We start from the raw sequence: 17,509 nt of genomic DNA on the forward strand, positions 1-17,509 counted from the left end.
GATTCATTTTGCACATGGCCACCCTCCCAAAAATCCACCTCAGTCCCCTGAGTACAATCCGTCTTGGTCCTACAGTACCAACTGAATCAATCTTTTGAGTCTTAATTCCAAATTCCCAGGAAAGAGAATCGAATTGCTCTATCATGGGTCAGAATGTCTACCAGGTCCAAACAGCTGTAGCCTGGAGGGTGGGACAATGTTTCAAAGGGCTGCCCCTTTAAAGAAGATTCCCCACCCCTAATAAAGGGGGAATAGACTGAGAGAGAATAAATGGCAACTTTACTACAGAAGGTGGAGTAGAAGAGAAGGAGGCAAATGATTTCTTGATGCACAGAAAAGGACAGTGATGAGAAATACTGAGTTGAGGACAAGAAAAGGTAAGTAAAGGGATACTAAAAGGGCTTACATTAAAAATATTGGTGATATGGCCAGGCACGGTGGCTCACTTCTGTAACCCTAGCACTTTGGGAGGCCAAGGTGGGTGGATCACCTGAGGTCAGGAGTTCAAGACCAGCCTGGCCAACATGGTGAAACCCCATCTCTACTAAAATACAAAAATTAGCCGGGCATGATGGCGGGTGCCTGTAATCCCAGCTACTCAAGAGGCTGAGACGGGAGAATCGTTTGAACCCAGGAAACAGTGGTTGCAGTGAGCTGAGATCGCACCACTGCACTCTAGCCTGGGTGGCTGAGTGATTCTCCATCTCAAAAAATAAAAATTGGTGATATGATATATCATGGAGTTTTCACTTCTCATAAGAGACTGTGCCGAAATGTCTCCAGACAGTGCTAGGCAATGGCTGGTGGCCATAGCCTTGGAAGGCCAGTTGGGCATTAAGTGTTTGCCCACTGGGGTGCCAGTGCTACTATTAAGGGTTTTTTATCCCCTGCTGGTCTGGTGTCAGGGGTGATGGGTTAGAGGGGCGCAGATGGAAATGAGGCTGATATTGGCAGGCACTGGGGAGGTGGCTTGATGGTACTCACAGGAGGCTTCCTGGGGCTGGCACAGTGGCCAAGGTAGTGGAGGTGGGGATGAGGGACAGCTGTTATTTACCAACTGGTAAAGAAATAGTTCCATATTTTAACTGGTAGAGATACTGGTGCATACCTGCTGAACATCAACCATGGCAACGAGTGAAAAGGTTTCACGAGTGAACCGTTGGATGATTTAGTGAGTGTAGCTATCTAACATATTTTGAAAATGAATTTTCCTAAGGCTAGATTTAAAACTTGCTTAAGGCTCCTTATTGCCTGCATGATGAGAGTCAAACTCCCACAAGATGTTCTCCACGGTCTATTATGATCTTCTCCCTGGCTTCTCTTCCAGCCTGATGTCCCTCCCTGTCTTAACATCCTCCAGCCACATCACACACCTTGCAGTTCCCTGAATCTGGCATCCTATTTTGTGTTTCCTCATCCCTGTGTGTATCATTTTGGTTGCCTGAAATGACCCCTCCTTTCTCCACTTATGCAGTCCTTCACTTCCTTCAATATCAATGCAAGTGCCACCTCTCCCTGAAGCCTTATCTGACAGCTCAAGACTATCTTGTCCTCCTTTCTCTATGCATCTGGGCTACCATGCACGTTCCTCCCTTCTGGAGTCATTGCATCGTGTTGCATTTGTTGACTTACCCATGTTTCCATCTGGTTTGAATTTCATGTGTGTGTCCCTGTGCCTAGCACCTTGTCATGGGCATAGTAAGTGCTTTGGATATTATTCTTTATATTTCAAATTATTTGGAAGGAGCAAGGTGTGGAATAGGGGTGAGATTTCTATAGAACTCATTTTATACATACTTCGTGAAGATAAAAACCCAAAAATATTATTCTCAGCTGGCATTGAGAGGCAGGATTCAGAATCTTCTTTTTTAAGAGAATATTTGAATGGCAATAATGACTGATTATTGCTGTGTTCTTAGACACCAAATTTGATTTGACTTCTTCCTTATACTTCTCTACTGGCCTAGATGGAAAATACAGCCATTGAGGACATAATGTTTCCTACTGGAATATGGCCATGGCCCTTACAATGAATGAGACATTCCTTTTGAATGTTTGTGCTTAAGGTATTTTGACTGTATTATAAGAAAAATCATGATTTGCATCCCTTTCAATGTAAGAAATGTGGTCTTTTAAGCAACTTTTGAAAATCTGTTGAAGTGTTTATAAGAGGGAAGTGAAGTCCAGATGTCTGCAGAGATTGTAAGGCAGCATCTGCCAGCTCTAACTAAATTTGTCTTTCCTGGCCTAGAAGAGTTTTACCCAAACATACAGAAGTAGGGCTTCGAGGGAAGACCCCTGGAGAAAGTGACTTTTGAAGGCTGAAGAGCGGTTTGGCAGGGAGGTGGAAAAAGAATGGGGAAGGAGGGAAAGACAGGGCAGGAACAGCTTATGCAGAGGCTCAGGGGCTTAAAATAGCAGGGTCCCTTGAAGCAAGAATAAGTAGCTCAATGTTACCAGAATGACAGATGAGAGTGAGGAGGGTACGGTGGGAGATGAAGCTGGAATAAGTGGGCTGGAGCTAGATAGCTAAGGGATTTACCGCTCATTCCACAAGTTATGGAGACCAGTGAGTTCATTTAAACAAGGCAAGAGAAGGCCAATTTACATTTTAGGAAGATCATTGCAGGAGTATTTCACTTTGTTTTTATTAACCTTTTCTTCTGATTCCTTTCTCCTCTTTTCCTTCAATGCCAGACTTCTCAGAAGAGGGAGCGTGGCATTGTGCATGGGGATTGGGGTCCCATGGGATTGAACACTGCATGGGCTCTGTCTCTAACCAGACATGTGACTTTGGGCATGGCAGTTACCTTTTCTGGGCCTCGGTTTCCTCATTTATAAATCCCTAAGATCCTTCCAAAATCTCTTCTAAGTTAAAGTCATGAGGTTCTTAGTTGTCTCCATTTACTGCCCCCGTTTTCTTTATCTCTCATTCACTTTTCAACATAGTGAACTGGTTTCTACTTCCGCCAGCCACTGGAGTTCTCTGGAGCGACTTCAGTGACCTCCATTGCTAGGTGGAGCCACATCGTGCTTAACCTCTTCACAGCACTGGGTCAGCTGATCACCTTCTCCTCAGTGCCTATCCTTTTCTTTCCTCATCATTGTGGTCCCCTGGTTTTCTCTTACCTCCCCTGCCCTTTGCCTCCTCTCCCTAGGCCTACCTGATACATACAGGGGCCGGTCAGTGTCACTGATGACATTTTCTTGCCAAAAATGCATGGCGTCAATCTAATAATGAGGAAACAGACCAATGCAAATTGAGGGACATTCTACAATACAACTGGTCTGGACTTGGCAAAAAATGTTATTCTTGTAAAAGACTAAAACAGATTGAGGGAATGTCCAGGTTAAAGGAGACTAGAATTATAGAACTAAATGCAATGTGTGACTTTGGATTGGGTGGAGAGGGGTTGCTATATATAACAGTATTGGGACAATTGGTGAAATTTGAATGTGGGACTATATATGAGGTAACAGCTTTGTGTCACTGTTAAATATTCTGAATTTGATTGTAGCAATGCAGGTATATAAGAGAATGTACTTATCTTAGAAGATGTGTGCTGAAATACTTAGGAGTGAAGAATCATGATGGCTGCAGTTTACTCTCAAATGGTTCAGTAACGATGACAGCAGCAGCGACAACAATAATAATGCATATGTTTTCTTTTTGTTTTTGTTTTTTTAAGATGGAGTCTCACTCTGTTACCCAGGTTGGAGTGCAGTGGCGCGATCTCGGCTCACTGCAACCTCTGCCTCCCGGGTTCAAGCGATTCTTCTGCCTCAGCCTTCTGAGTAGCTGGGATTATAGGCATGCGCCACCGTGCCTGGCTAATTTTTGTATTTTTAGTAGAGTCAGGGTTTCATCATTTTGGCCAGGCTGGTCTTGAACTCCTGACCTTAATAATGCATGTGTTTTATGTGTGTATGCATTGTCTTCTTCAAGGCATCTTTTCTCTCCTTTTCTCTTCATGCCATGCTCTTTTCCTAAGACCTCTTACCCACTGCCTCTTCCCTGCTTCCATCCTTGCCTTTCCCTTCTATTCTAAACACAGCAGCCAGAGTTATCTGGTTACAATAAGTAATTGCAGTCTTTGCTGTATAAGGTTGTGCGGTTGAACAGGTCGTGTCAATTCTCTGCCTTGAACCCTCAGAGGAAAAGCCAGAGTCCTTGTTATGGCTTCTGAGTCCCTACTTGGGGATTTGGCCCCTTTTACCTCTGCGATCCAGTCTGTTTTCCCTACATTCCTTGATCCACTCCAGCCACACTGGCCTTCTAGCTGCTGCTTGAATACCCAGGTGCTCTTCTGCCGCAGGGCCTTTGTACTCTTTTGCACTCTTTCTGCCTGGATCCTTGTCCCCTCAGACATTCACATGACATTACTCACTTCCCTTAGGTGCCTGATCAGTGTTACCTTAACTGATTACTCTATTTAAAATTCAAACTCTTCTCTAACACATTCCTTATTGCACATCCTTGTTTTTTTTTCCTTAGTATTTCTTTTGATCCATCTTGGCTCTTTAAAATATAAGCTGTATTTGGGCAGGGCTGTTTCATTCACTGCTCTGCCTACAGTTCTCATAATGGAGCCTGGCATGTAGAAGGTGCTTAAGAAGTGTTTGTTGAATGAACAAATGAAAGACTTGTGCATGACTTTTATTTGTTTTTGGATGATACCCTTAGAATTTCTGCTTAGAATAGGACTTCTTTTTTGTACCCCCTTTGACAGGCTATGAAGCCTATAGACACCATCTCAGAATAATAGGCTTGTTTGTTCTGTTTTACACTTTTATTGCAGTGTAATACAGATACAGAAAAGTACATATATCATAGTGTACAGCTGGATCAATTCTCACAAACCCAACACACCTGTAACCTTGCTCACATCAAAAAATCAATACCATCCATACCACAGACAGCACCTCATGCCCTTTTCCAGTGACAATCCCCACTGCAAAGGTGACCTCCATCCTCACTTTTAAGAGCATAGCTTAGTTTTGCTTAAGGTACTTTTAAAAGGAATGGTACAGTTTGCATTCTTTTATGTCTAGCTCCTTTCAGTCAATACTATGTTGATGAGATTCATTTGTGTTTCTACATGCTTATTTTCAGTTCTGTATTTTTTGTTGTGTGGAAATACTGGAGTTTATCTGTTCTACTGTTTATGGGCCTTTGGATGGTTTGCAGTTTCCTTTGGCTACTCGTACAAGCATTCTAGCACAAGTGAACATATATGCAGTTCCACCTAGGAGTGGTATTGTTAGGTCACGGGGTGCACATATGGTACTTGCTAGATACTGTCAAATGGTTTTCCAAAGTGGTTGCATCTGGCCAGATGCGGTGGCTCACTCCTGTAATCCCAGCACTTTGGGAGGCCAAGGTGGGCAGATCACATGAGACCAGGAGTTTGAGACCAAAGTGGTTGTGTCGATTTATACTTCCACCATCACAGAATAGTGTTTTCTCATGTATAAAGTAAAATATATACATATATTCTATAGGAAATTCTTTTGAAATATGGTTATAAAAATAGTTTTAATATGTAGGTATATGTTATATGTGCTTCTTTATTAACACATACAATTAAAAGTTTTAGTAGTTCTTATAATTACTATGATTTAAAAGTAGGGATGAATATACCTGATGTTTGAGATATCTGCAACAAATGTAATGTGATATGAAAATTCTGTGTTTTACCAGTCACAAGGTCGCAGGTGCTGCTAACACTTCTATGGTTTGTTGATTACCTTTTGAATGATAGGAAATCTTAGTGTGTTACAAGTTAGTGAAAATGAAGGTATAATTTTTAATCTAAGTTCATCAACCTCCTGAAATCTATAAAAGGGTACATGGACCCCCAGGTTAAGAAACCCTTAAGGAAAATGACTTACAACAAAGATTTCTTGAGTGCCTCCTGTGTGTCATACCCTGTGTGAGGCGCTGGGGACCCAGCAGCACACAGCACACAGCACACATCTCCTCTCAATGAACTTGCAGTCACGAGGGCAGGAGTCCACATATGCACAGCCAGATATGGTTAGTTACCCAAAGTGTGTGAGAGCCTCAGGACATACTCCTAGCCCATTCATGGGAGGCGGTTGGTGGTTAGGGAAGGCTTTCTGGAAGAAGGGGCATCATTAGATTTAGGCTGTATACCTGTCACTCTGGCTACAGTGTGGATAATGGATTGGAGGAAACAAGTCTGCAAGCACTTGAAGTAATCCAGGTGTGAAGTAATTGTGGTAGAATGCAAAGAGAACTATGAATACGTTCTGGAGACTCTTGATTCCTGGTGATGGATTGGATATGGGAGAGGGCATTGGGAGTAGGGTAGAAAGAAGGCAGGTAGGTGTAACGTAGTGGTCAAGTTTCTGACTTAGTCAGCTGGTTGAATGGTGATGACCATTCACTGAAACAGAATGAGGAGCAGCTTCAGGGTCAGGGGAGATGAGTTCAGCTTTGAACATATTTAGATTGAGGTGTCTGTGAGACATCCAAGAGGTGGTTATACATTTATATGGGCCCTTGCTCAGGAGAGAGCTGTGAGAGTTTCAGTGTATGTGTAGGAGTGGGTGAGATACCCAGAGAAGGTAGGGAGGAAAGAAAAGATCCCAGGGTCAGGACTTTGAGAAAGATCAACTTTTTAGAAACCAGCAGATAAAGGGGTACTTATGAAAGATGGGAATGGTCACAGGGGTAGGAGGCAAACCAGGGAAGTAGAATGCCCTTGAAACCAAGAACAGAGAGAGTGTCAAGAAGATGCTCAGCAGACTCAGCAGAGTAGAAGAAGGTGAGTCTGGAAAACGGCCCAGTGGATTTAGCAATAAGAGGTCATTGATGAATTGCTTTTACTACATAAACACTGGGAATGATGATTTTTCTCTGGATTGTACTTTCATCTGGGTTTTAAGCTTTCTGTTATAGCAATACGAATGTCCAAGGGTCATTTCCTTTCAGGTTTACTTTTCTTCTTACATCTGCTTTATATATTTTCCTCATGCTCTAGTGAGTTTTATGCTGCAGTGGTAGTAGGCAGTCCTTTCAGCTTAATGACTTCTATCTCTAGCAGACTCTAGCTCTTTTTTTTTTTCTTGGGACAATAAGAGATATTGTTACAGATGTTGCTTCTTGGTAAAAAGACTTGCAGGCCTATTTTTCTGCAGAGTAGATATGAACACATTCACTTTGACTGGCCCTGTTTGTGTATGTGAGGGGTTGGCCTACTGATAATGACTTTGCAGGTCATCTTTCTTGCCTTGAGTGAAATTCAGTTTCTAGTCCATATGATAAAAATGTAATAGAAGAGATATAAATTCTATAAATTTATAATTATTTTCTTCCCAGAATGTCAACAACTTGGATTTTTTTATAATCTATGGGAGAAAAATGAGAAGCTACTTAAGTTAAACAAACGTGTTCAGTGCTTACTCTGTAAATGACAGTGCAGGCCACACGATCACAGCGATCCAGGCAGGAACCACTGAGTGCCTGGATACTCCTTCCCTCCTCATTCTTATTGTCCAGAGAGCCCCAAGTGCAGCTGATCTTGGCCTCTCTATCTTACTGCTTCTGCCCTGGTCCACATCCCTGGTTTTGTGTGGATGGTTACAATAGAGTACTAACTGGCCTCCTGGCTTTGATGGTTACTCCCCTAGCCCATCCTCTGCTCAAGAACCTGGTGAACTTAAACAAAAAAATTCAGATTTAATGAGCCCACTCCTAAGGATTCTGATTCAGTAGGTATAGGTGTGAGGCCCCAAAATCTGCATTTAAAAAGTTGCCATAGAAATATATATATAGGTGTATATAAATAAGTACACACGCACACACACACACACTTCCTTGCTCTTTCTGTTAAGATTACTAAGAAAGCAGTGACACATCAGCACCAGAAACATGACTAGCACCAAGAATTCAGTTTCTAAAGACTGTTCTCCACAAAAAAGAACAGAACTCCTTGGAGAAAAAGCTGATTCTAGGCCTGGGGCAGTGAAAGCACAAGATACATCTGGAATATCTTCTTGTGCTAGAAAATATAGCAGTGCTTAAAGAATAAGGGGAGATATTAAAATGACATGAGAGCCAGCTTGAAGGGACTTCCATTGGCGACATCTGGGATAATTTGAGCATGAATTATAATCTGTAGAATAAAATAAAAATCCTTGCATCCATAGTGATATAAATAACTCAATGGGGAGAAGGCAAAGCTCTTCCTTGTATAGAAAGCCAAGTATTAAATATAGCTGGAATGATGGAGTTAGAAAACCAATGGATGCTATAACTAGTGATGAAGTTTTGTTGAGAAACGTGATTTTACATTGTCCTCCACCACCAGATAGTTAATATTTACAAAGGACAAACAATAAGTACAGTGGAGAAACCTGGCAACCCACCATAACTAAATTCAAATTAACATTCATAACAATGGGACAAACCACACCATTAAAAGAAAAAAAGATTCCTCAAGTGGTTTTAGTCTCCAGAATTTCTGCTCTATGCTAGCACTGGAATTAGTGTTCTGTGGCACAGATCTGATCTGTCTCTGCCTTGCTTAAAAACTCCGGCCAACTCTATTGCTTCTGGAATGCGACCCTACCCCCACCTTTTTGCCATTATCTCTTGCCACAGCTCTGTTTCCCCGACTTTCCTACCTTTGGTCCCATCACCCATACTCCTTGCAGTAAGTCAAAGGGTATATGTGTCTCCATGTTACTGCCCACAGCCTTGCTGCTGAAAGTGCCTTCCAGGTCTCTGGAATCTGAATTTGTGGCAGATTCATATAAGCCAAGAGACAACTACAGTGTCACCATCTCTGTGAAGCCCTCCCTGATTTCATGGGGGCAGAACTAATGTCTGTTTCCTCCTTGCCACTGTAGCATTTTCTCCGTCTCTTAAACACGTCTCAATTCTGCTATGACTTTCCATTTGTGTGTCTCTCCACCCCAGTTATGCAGGCGACTGGCCCCTCTGTGTCCCGGAGGCTCTTTATGTGGTGGAAAAAGCTAGGGCTTCAGTGCCAGTCACACCTAGGTTTGAATCTGATTCTACCACTTCTTAGTTGTTACACAGCCAGCCTCAGCTTCTTCCTCTAGACACACTGGTAGATTGTTATTGAGAATTCAATTCAGTAAAGCATATAAGGAGCTTTGCAAAGTGAGTTGAAGAATGACATAAAAGAGAAAGAAACCTCACTCTAGGCCCTGAGTAAGTTTTTTCACACGTAAGTCCTCACTGAATTTCATCATTGATAGGTCTTTGGAAACTGTGACTTTAAACAAAACAATGTACAACAAACCAATTTTACCATCAGCCGATTGATATAAAGAGTTAAATTCCTACGCATATTTCTGGCCACAGGAAAATCACTAACCTAACTAAAGACCAAAATGCTTATCATATTAAACATTAAAGTAAATGGGAGCTATCTAGATGTTTAAGAAAAGTTAATAAAAACTAGTAAGATAATGATTTACTTGTTTATTCAGTTCAGGGTCCCGGGTGGCTGGAGCCTATCCCCGCAGCTCAGGGTACAAGGTGGGAACCAGCCCTGGACAGGACGCAGTCACGTCGCAGGGTGCACGCACATACACAGTTGCACTCATGTAGCACTCATGGAGACACACCAGTTCACTGAACATGCACATCTTTGGAATGTGGGAGGAAAGCAGAGCACCTGGAGAAAACCCTCGCAGACGTGGGGAGATCGTGCGAACTCCAAATGACAGTGGCCCTGGCCAGGAATTGATATTTTTTCTCATCAATGTTGTAACAAGACAATGTTATTCAAGGACCTGCTGTATATATCTATTATTTTCAAAGACGTATTTTATATATATGCATTTTTCCCTGTAATCCTGAAGAGAATTCAGAGGTATAGTTACATGGCTAGTAACCAACAGACCCAACTTTGAACCTATTTCTGACTCCAAAGCCATGTTCTTTCTATTACATGGGAACTCATAAACCAGGAGAGACAGAGCCAAAATTACCTTAAATAAGAAGCCCATAGTGAAAAATGTTAAGCTAGAGTTGTAGTCTCTAAACTTTTTTTGATTGTATACCTCTCTTGGTAAAATACTCTTGTGCAACTCCCACTATAGGAATATTTGTTTTTTTATATATTTATGTTATATACTTGTATTATTGTGCTAACATTATATTATAAAACACATATGACATTTACATTAAATTTATATGTGAATGCAATTTACATATAAATTTCTTACTATACTCCCCCAAATCATCTTGCACATATCTTTGAAAACCCCTGAACTAGAGAATAGAGGAAGGAAGGTAAATTTGACTAGTGGGGTTTTGGAAGAACCCATTCTGGAAGAGATGGCATTTGGGTGGCCTCTAGGAGGATGTTAGGAAGTTAGCTGGCACACTGGGTGGGGGAAAGCATTGCAGGTTGAGGTCACAGTTAGGATGAAGACAATGCATTGGACAATTCTGGGCATTTACATTGAACAATGGTAGTTGGGCCAGAGGAGAGTTGTGGGGGGTGGGGGGAATCTAGAAAATAATAATGTAGCACACTTAGAAATGCAGCTGTGAGACAGGCGGCCTTCTGAGCTAAAGAGATTGCTTTATGTTAGCAGTCTTTTGTGGGGAAAGGAAGGACCCATAATGGTGGTAGCCTAGAAGAAAACAAGAGCTGGCTGAGTGCCTAAGGGGCCAGAGGAAGGGATGTAAACCCATGGGAATGTCCTTGGGTGGCAAAGTGACCCCGAGGGATAAATTTGCAGGAACATGTAGGTGATTTCACATTTGGACTGGATAAAAATCCAAATGCGGAGGTGAGCCATGGAAGCTTTGAAAGATGTTAGTGACTGTGACTGGATCTGGATTTTAGACATACGGACTTATAAAAAAGTAGCATGGACAGGGGAGTGGGGTGTGCAGAGTCAGGGAGGCCAGTGTGAAGGAATGACCTCTGGAACGCAGAGCAGGGGGAGCAGGAGGGAGACAGTGGAGAGGCAAAGGGGGCATTCATGGGATGAGGAAGTGGGAGAGGGAGGAGCAAATGCATTAGATGACTAGGAAGTTGTGGGTCAGTTAGGGGAGAGAGGGACCGAGGAGGAGGATTGGGTTCTGGGGTGGGAGGATGGGGGCCTATTTCAGACATGCTGAGTTTGAGGTGCCTATTGAAAATTTAACTATGGACATTAGAAGTGCACAGAAGAGACCTTGCCTATTCAGGTGTCAGTCACCACTGTATTAGGTGCAACTAGAAGGATGGGAATGCATGTGTATAACACAACACACACACGTACACACACACACACACACACACACACACACACACACACACACACACACACACACACACCCTGCCATGCAGGCCTTCCCAGTGAGGGAGTGAGGGAAAGAAGGCATTGTGGGGTGCGGAGAAGAGGGCCTGCCTGCCTGCACACTGGTTTGGGGGAGTCTTTACAAGAGAAGGGATGCTGGAGGCGAGTCTTTAAGGCAGGAAGGATTCTCCGGGTATGAGGTCTAGGAAGACTGTCCTGCTATTGACTCCAGGGTAGATGAGAAGGACCAGGTTTGGTGAAGCAGAGAGGTATTACAGAACACTGAATTCAGTTTAGAAGTGGTTAATCTTGGGACAGACTATTCTTTTAAGGGTAACTTCCCAAGGAGGGAACAGGTTGGCAGTCTTGACTGCAGGTCTGATCTTCAGGAAGGTGGTTGGATGGAGATCCAGATGGGATAGTGCCTTCTATGAAAGGTAGCCAGATGGATAAAGGTGAGACTCATGTCACAGACACTGACTGAGTGCCTGCCAGGAGATACTGATGGAGGTTAACATATGGGTGAGGTGAAATGCATGTGAAATGAAAAGGCACAAGACCTTAAGACAGGCCAAGTCTGGTGGTCAATATCTGTAATCTCAGCACTTTGGAAGGCTGAGAGGGTAGGATCGCTCAAGCCCAAGAGTTCGAGATGAGCCTGGGTAACATGGCAAGACTCCGCCTCTACAAAAAAATAAAAATAAAATTAGCCAGGTGTGGTGGTGCACCTCTGTGGTCACAGCTGCTTGGGAGGCTGAGGAGAGAGTATTGCTTGAGCCCAGGAAATTGTGGCTGCAGTGAACCATATTCACTCCACCACACTCCAGCCTGGGTGACAGAGCAAGACCCTATCTCAAAAATAAAAAGAGCTTAAGATAAAACCATGGGGTACATCCTTCCCTTTAACTACTGAGGAGAGGAGAAGAAGCATGAAGGGGCCTGAGCAGGAGCAGAGTAGCCAGGAAGAATTGGAGAGGTTTAGGATTGTAAACCAAGGGAGGAGCAAAATTGTAAACCAAATTGTAAGCCAAGGGAGGAGCGAAAGACTCTGCATGTGTTTTGCTGGAGCTGGTGGTGGAGGAAGTGGAGGTGGGGTCAACTGTGGAGCTGTGCAAAAAGATGGACCAGGATTGAGACTCAAAAGAGGTTAAGGGAAGAACAATTTCATTCCAATGGTATGGGGCAGAATCCAAATTGCTAGAACAATGAGTAAGAATGAAAATGTGGAGGCAATGGGAAAGTGTAGCCTAATTAGGGCAAGGCATTTCCTGGTATCTGGAAGATTTAAGAGTTGTCTTGCTAATAGGCACCTATTCTGGGAGATTCAACATGCCCAAGATGCCATCTGTTTCAGTAGGGAATACTGAATGAAGGTGCAGGTTGACCATCGACTGTGTCTCTTTTTCTCAAAATGATCCTTAATCAAGAGGACATATCTGCTTTGATGGAGCAACAAGTCAGAGGTTTGAAAATCTATTTATTGTTTTCCTTGGGTACAGGCTTGTGATTTCGTTTGTTTTTATGGTGGTTAATTATTCCTGAAATTTCAAGATATATACAACATTCTGTTTAAGGGCTTTGTCAAAAATAAAAATATAAAGAAGAGAGAAAAAGAAAAGAGTGTTGTTGTTGTTACTAATCCTTATAGTATGTCACACTGCGAAGACTGATTTATAGGTGCAAATTTTACAGAATTCAGGACTTAGTTTTTTTCTGAGTTATAGCATCTTTTTTTCTCTTTAAGCGACTTTTTTGTTTTATAGCTAGAAAACGATTGATCTGTTTATAGGTATTTAATTCCATACGTGTCCTAGTTTCATCTAATTCTCCTTTGAATCTCAAAAGCTAATTCAGCAGCTAGCTTTTTCTTTCTGGGTACCACACAAAAATAAAAAATCAAATTTCCAGCAATAAATCAATGGAAATGTTAGAGCAGTACTGTGCCACGAGTGATCAGTGATTGGCCATAGATGCCACATCAAGGAAGCAGTCACTCAGTAGATATCCCAGGAGTGTTTTTTACTGAATGTCAATTACTGAATGTCTAACTTACTTTCTCTGGCACTGTATGCACTTCAAAGAGACTGCAGTATGAGCGCTGTGTATTTTCTACAGCCTGTGCTCATTCAAATCTTCATTTGACCTTTTCCCTTGTGTTCACAGGAATCTTAACTATAGGATTTTAAAAGTGATTTTATTAAATATCAAGGAGATACATAACATTTTGGTAAATATGTAAAGTGTAAGTAATAATTAAAGATTTTTAGAACTTCACCAAATGTCACCACTGTGTTGGTGGGTAAAATGCTACACTTGTTTTTCTAATTAGAACACCCTATGCAGTGACCTGAGAGTCCAAGGGCTTCATGTTTTCAGAGCGGGTCACTTCACCTTTTCAGCCATGACAGAAGCAAATCTAGCCGAGGATACCCTTTCTTTTCATGCCAAGTGTGCTTTCTGCATAATAAGGTAAAAGGTCTGCTAGACTGATGTTCAGGTGGTGGCAACATACTACTATAGGACAAGATCCTGAAATTCAAAATAGTGGGAGTTAATAATGGGACATTTTGTGAAATGACTAAAAACAAACTCATTAACTTATATATTCTTTGGTAACCTTACTTATCACTAGGCTAGGAGAAAATTAGTATGCATGTCTGAAACCCACATAAAGAATGAACTTAATTCTTGCTTAAGACTAAAATGGCAATAAAAAGTGGTAATTGTAAGGGAAATTGGAACTTTAAGTAAACTTATTTGAGGCTCTTTGTTTTATTTTATTTGGGCCCTAAGCAAAAATTACTGTACTAATTAGCATGATTGATTTCATCCCATGTTATTTATCCTTAAGATATGAAATTATGAAAAAAACTTTGAGATACATGTGAAAAAATGTTAAACAGTTCTTGTTTCTACTAGTATACTCATTTTAATCTTCTTTATTTATAACTACATTATACAAATTTATCTAGGATTTTTACTTTATATTAATACTTGGATTACAGAACTGAGTCATTATTACTTATCCTAATTTTGTGCTTGGTTAAATTTTGTTACAATTTATAGGTTTAGAAACTTTCACTTTAAAATGTGCAAGGTATTCCAGTAATTCTGGGGAAAATGGGTTCCTTATAGTGAAGATTATTACAAAAATTATAATGGGTAAAATTGTTTATTAATTCTGGCAAGACACCAAAAAGAAATTATAGTAGTTGACAGAAAACTCAGAAAAAATAAACTGTAAGAGAACATAGGAAATTATCAAAACTATGATTATATGGTGTCAAAGAAAGACTCAATAAAACTTTATTTCCTTTTCATACGAAAAGATTTGCCCCAGTACCTTTGGTGGGCATAATTTTTATATGATTCTTAGTTGAAGCTATAAACTAAAAATCATGGGTGTTATTAAAAGCTGTCTTCTAAGATCCTACCTGGATTGGGAGAATATGGAATCTGGTTTTGGTTTTTCTTCTTCAGGCTAAAGGGCCAGAGTATCTTGTTTGCTGTCTTCATCACTGGTCCAGCACAAGGCCTAGTATAGGGAGGACACTCAACACATTTTTGTTGACTTGAATTGACTCAGAGGCCAGTGTTTACATACATTGTGGCTACCAGAAGAACCCCTGGACTTCTTTTTATTGGGGGGCAGGGAACAGGATTGCACTCTGTAGCCTACACTGGAGTGCAGTGGTAGGATCATGGCTCACTGCAGATTCAACCTCCTGGACTCAAATGATCCTCTCACCCTAGCCTCCTGAGTAGCTGGGACTACAGGTGCATGCCACACTCTCTGCTAATTTTTTATTTTTATTTTTGTAGAGACAGGGTCTTGCTTTGTTGCCCAGGCTGGGCTCAAACTCCTGGCATCAAGCAATCCTCCCACCTTGGCCTTTTAAAATGCTGGGATTACAGGTCTGCGCCACTGTCCCTGGCCAGAATCCCTGGACTTCTAATTTGTCAGTTCAATCTTGGTTTTATGTCTAAGCCTTCATATCGATGGACATTTAGATTGTTGACTATTATGAACACTGTTGTAGCACACATCCTTATGTATACTTTCTAGAGTATATGCGTGTTTCTGTAGCAGATATTTCTAGAAGTAGAATGGCCAGGGTCAAGGAATGTGTATACTTTGTATTGTGATAGATGTTGACAAATTGCCTTTCAAAAAGAGATGTACCAATGGACATGTAGGAAAATGATATTCCTGACGGCTTCCTCTGCTCTTATATCACATTAGTTTTAACTCTCTTAAAGACAGAAAGAATGTGGAAATTTTAAAGTTAAGAAAGTAAAGCATTCATGGGTGAAAATAATAAACAATGTTTCTTCTTTTCTGTTTGGTCTCTTTCATGGTAAATGCCTACATTTACACATGTGAAGACTCACAGAAATAGTCTATTAAAATAATAAACATTATATTCAAATATAATAATCTTATATTCAAATATCTTGGGCTTGATCATTTAATATGTGATTGTTTAATTGCTGTCATAACATAAATAGGGATTTATCATACTGTCTTTTCTATAGAGTTGTCCTACCAATAATATATATTATCGATGCAGAGAGAAGATAAAACCAACATTTTATAATGTGTACCTTATTGATTAATAATATGTAATTATATACTTCATATATATGTGATTTATATTACCTATTATTATGTACTGGGCACGCTGAGCATTTTGCATACATTACCTTATTTAATGCTCACAAAAAATTTTTGAGGTAGATACTATTATTCCCTGTTTACTGAAGAAGAAACTGAGGCCTGGAGTATTTAAGTAATTTGCCCCAAAACATCCAGCTAGTAGCTGTCAAACAGGAGTTAAACCCAGGCGTCTCTCACCCCACACCCCAGCTGCCTAATTTACGTAATTGTCTGGCATATTTTAGTCACTCAGTTATTGTCATCTGATGGTAAGAATCAGGGATATTTTTCAAAGAAAAATAATGACATGAATTTAACATGAACTCCCATCACGGTATGTCCATTTGAGGCTTTCAGAGAGGTCCCTACTGAAAAAACTAGCCCTCTTCTAAGAATTTCTGCTTGACACTAGGTCCAGATCAATTTTTTTCCTTGATGTTTGCTGAAAGCAATGGCAACAATTCCTGTCACCTGTTTCTTGAACAAGGGAAGTACTTTGGCACAGAGCAGGGCCCTGCCACGGTGAGCTCCAGGACTATCCATCGTGCACTGTCCACAATACCCCCTTGGCCTGGCTGCCCAGCCTGAGGGCCCGATATTTGGCTTTTGGATATGGCCCAGGAAGAACTCAGGTGACATGCAGATTGATAATATTTGACTCCTGGGACGGGACTCAAGCTTTAGACCTGGAATGGCCAAGCTGGAACTCTGCCATTCCGATGGCTTCATAGCTACTTACTCACCAGCCAGTCTACAGCATTAGGTTGCTTGCTCCTCTGGGAAGCCATAAAGAGCTGGTGTGAGCAGTTAGCTTATTGGCATCACCACCACAGTTTTTTGGTGTTTAGAGACTTTCAGTTCAGGGTAACAGAACCCAACTCAAATTGGCCTAAGGAAACAAAGGAATTTAGTGGCTTATGCCACTGGAAAGTTCTAGATTGGTGCTGACATCAGAGCCTACAGGGACTCAGATGACTGTCAGTAGTATCTTAGACTCTCCCTTTCTCCATCTCTTGGCTGTGTTTCTCTCCGGTCGTTGGCCTCATTCTTTCCTTCTGCTGGCCGATTTTTTTGAACCTATGGGTATAGGCAGTATGTTGATGCCAATGGTCATGGGTGGCTTCTGGTTTCCAGCCTCTCAGCTCAAGACCTCAGAGGAAACAGGGAGCTTTCCTAGCAACAGATTGTAAAGTTACAGGGAAGGACACTCTGGCCTTGCCTGGGTAATGTGACCATTTTAGACATATGACTGTAGCCCAGAATGGGTATCATGGTTGTCCGATCAGTGCAAGAAATTGTGATTGGCAGTCCTCCCCGAGCCACATGGGATGGGGAAGGGCCAATTTTTTTAAAAAGGGGAGAAGAGTTATTACCAGAAGAAAGGGAAAGAAATGTTGAGCTTACTAAAACAATATGTATTTCAAAGTGGTAGTTACAAGAAAGCCTGGAAAATAATAGGATGTTGAGCTTGACGCATCATTCAGAGAACAGATGAGTCCAGGAAACAATAGATCCCTGCTTGTTATCTCTTTGAAAGGGATGGTTGCCTTCACCAAT

At 41.4% G+C, this 17,509-nt stretch overlaps 1 protein-coding gene and 1 long non-coding RNA gene across 10 annotated transcripts in view; one reads left to right on the top strand and one right to left on the bottom strand.

The window, feature by feature from the left end:
* EML6 (EMAP like 6) overlaps positions 1-17,509 on the top strand; it is a 248,474-nt gene that overhangs the window by 10,079 nt on the left and 220,886 nt on the right. The gene's annotated exons all lie outside the window — the stretch shown is intronic.
* EML6-AS1 (EML6 antisense RNA 1) lies at positions 13,471-17,426 on the bottom strand. The gene is made up of 3 exons (NR_187225.1): positions 16,696-17,426; positions 14,730-14,830; positions 13,471-13,824 (listed from the first exon to the last, which is right to left on the bottom strand). It is a non-coding gene; the product is annotated as an EML6 antisense RNA 1 (long non-coding RNA).

This window comes from Homo sapiens, chromosome 2, assembly GCF_000001405.40.
Source record: "Homo sapiens chromosome 2, GRCh38.p14 Primary Assembly".
NCBI classification, from domain to species: Eukaryota; Metazoa; Chordata; class Mammalia; order Primates; family Hominidae; genus Homo; species Homo sapiens.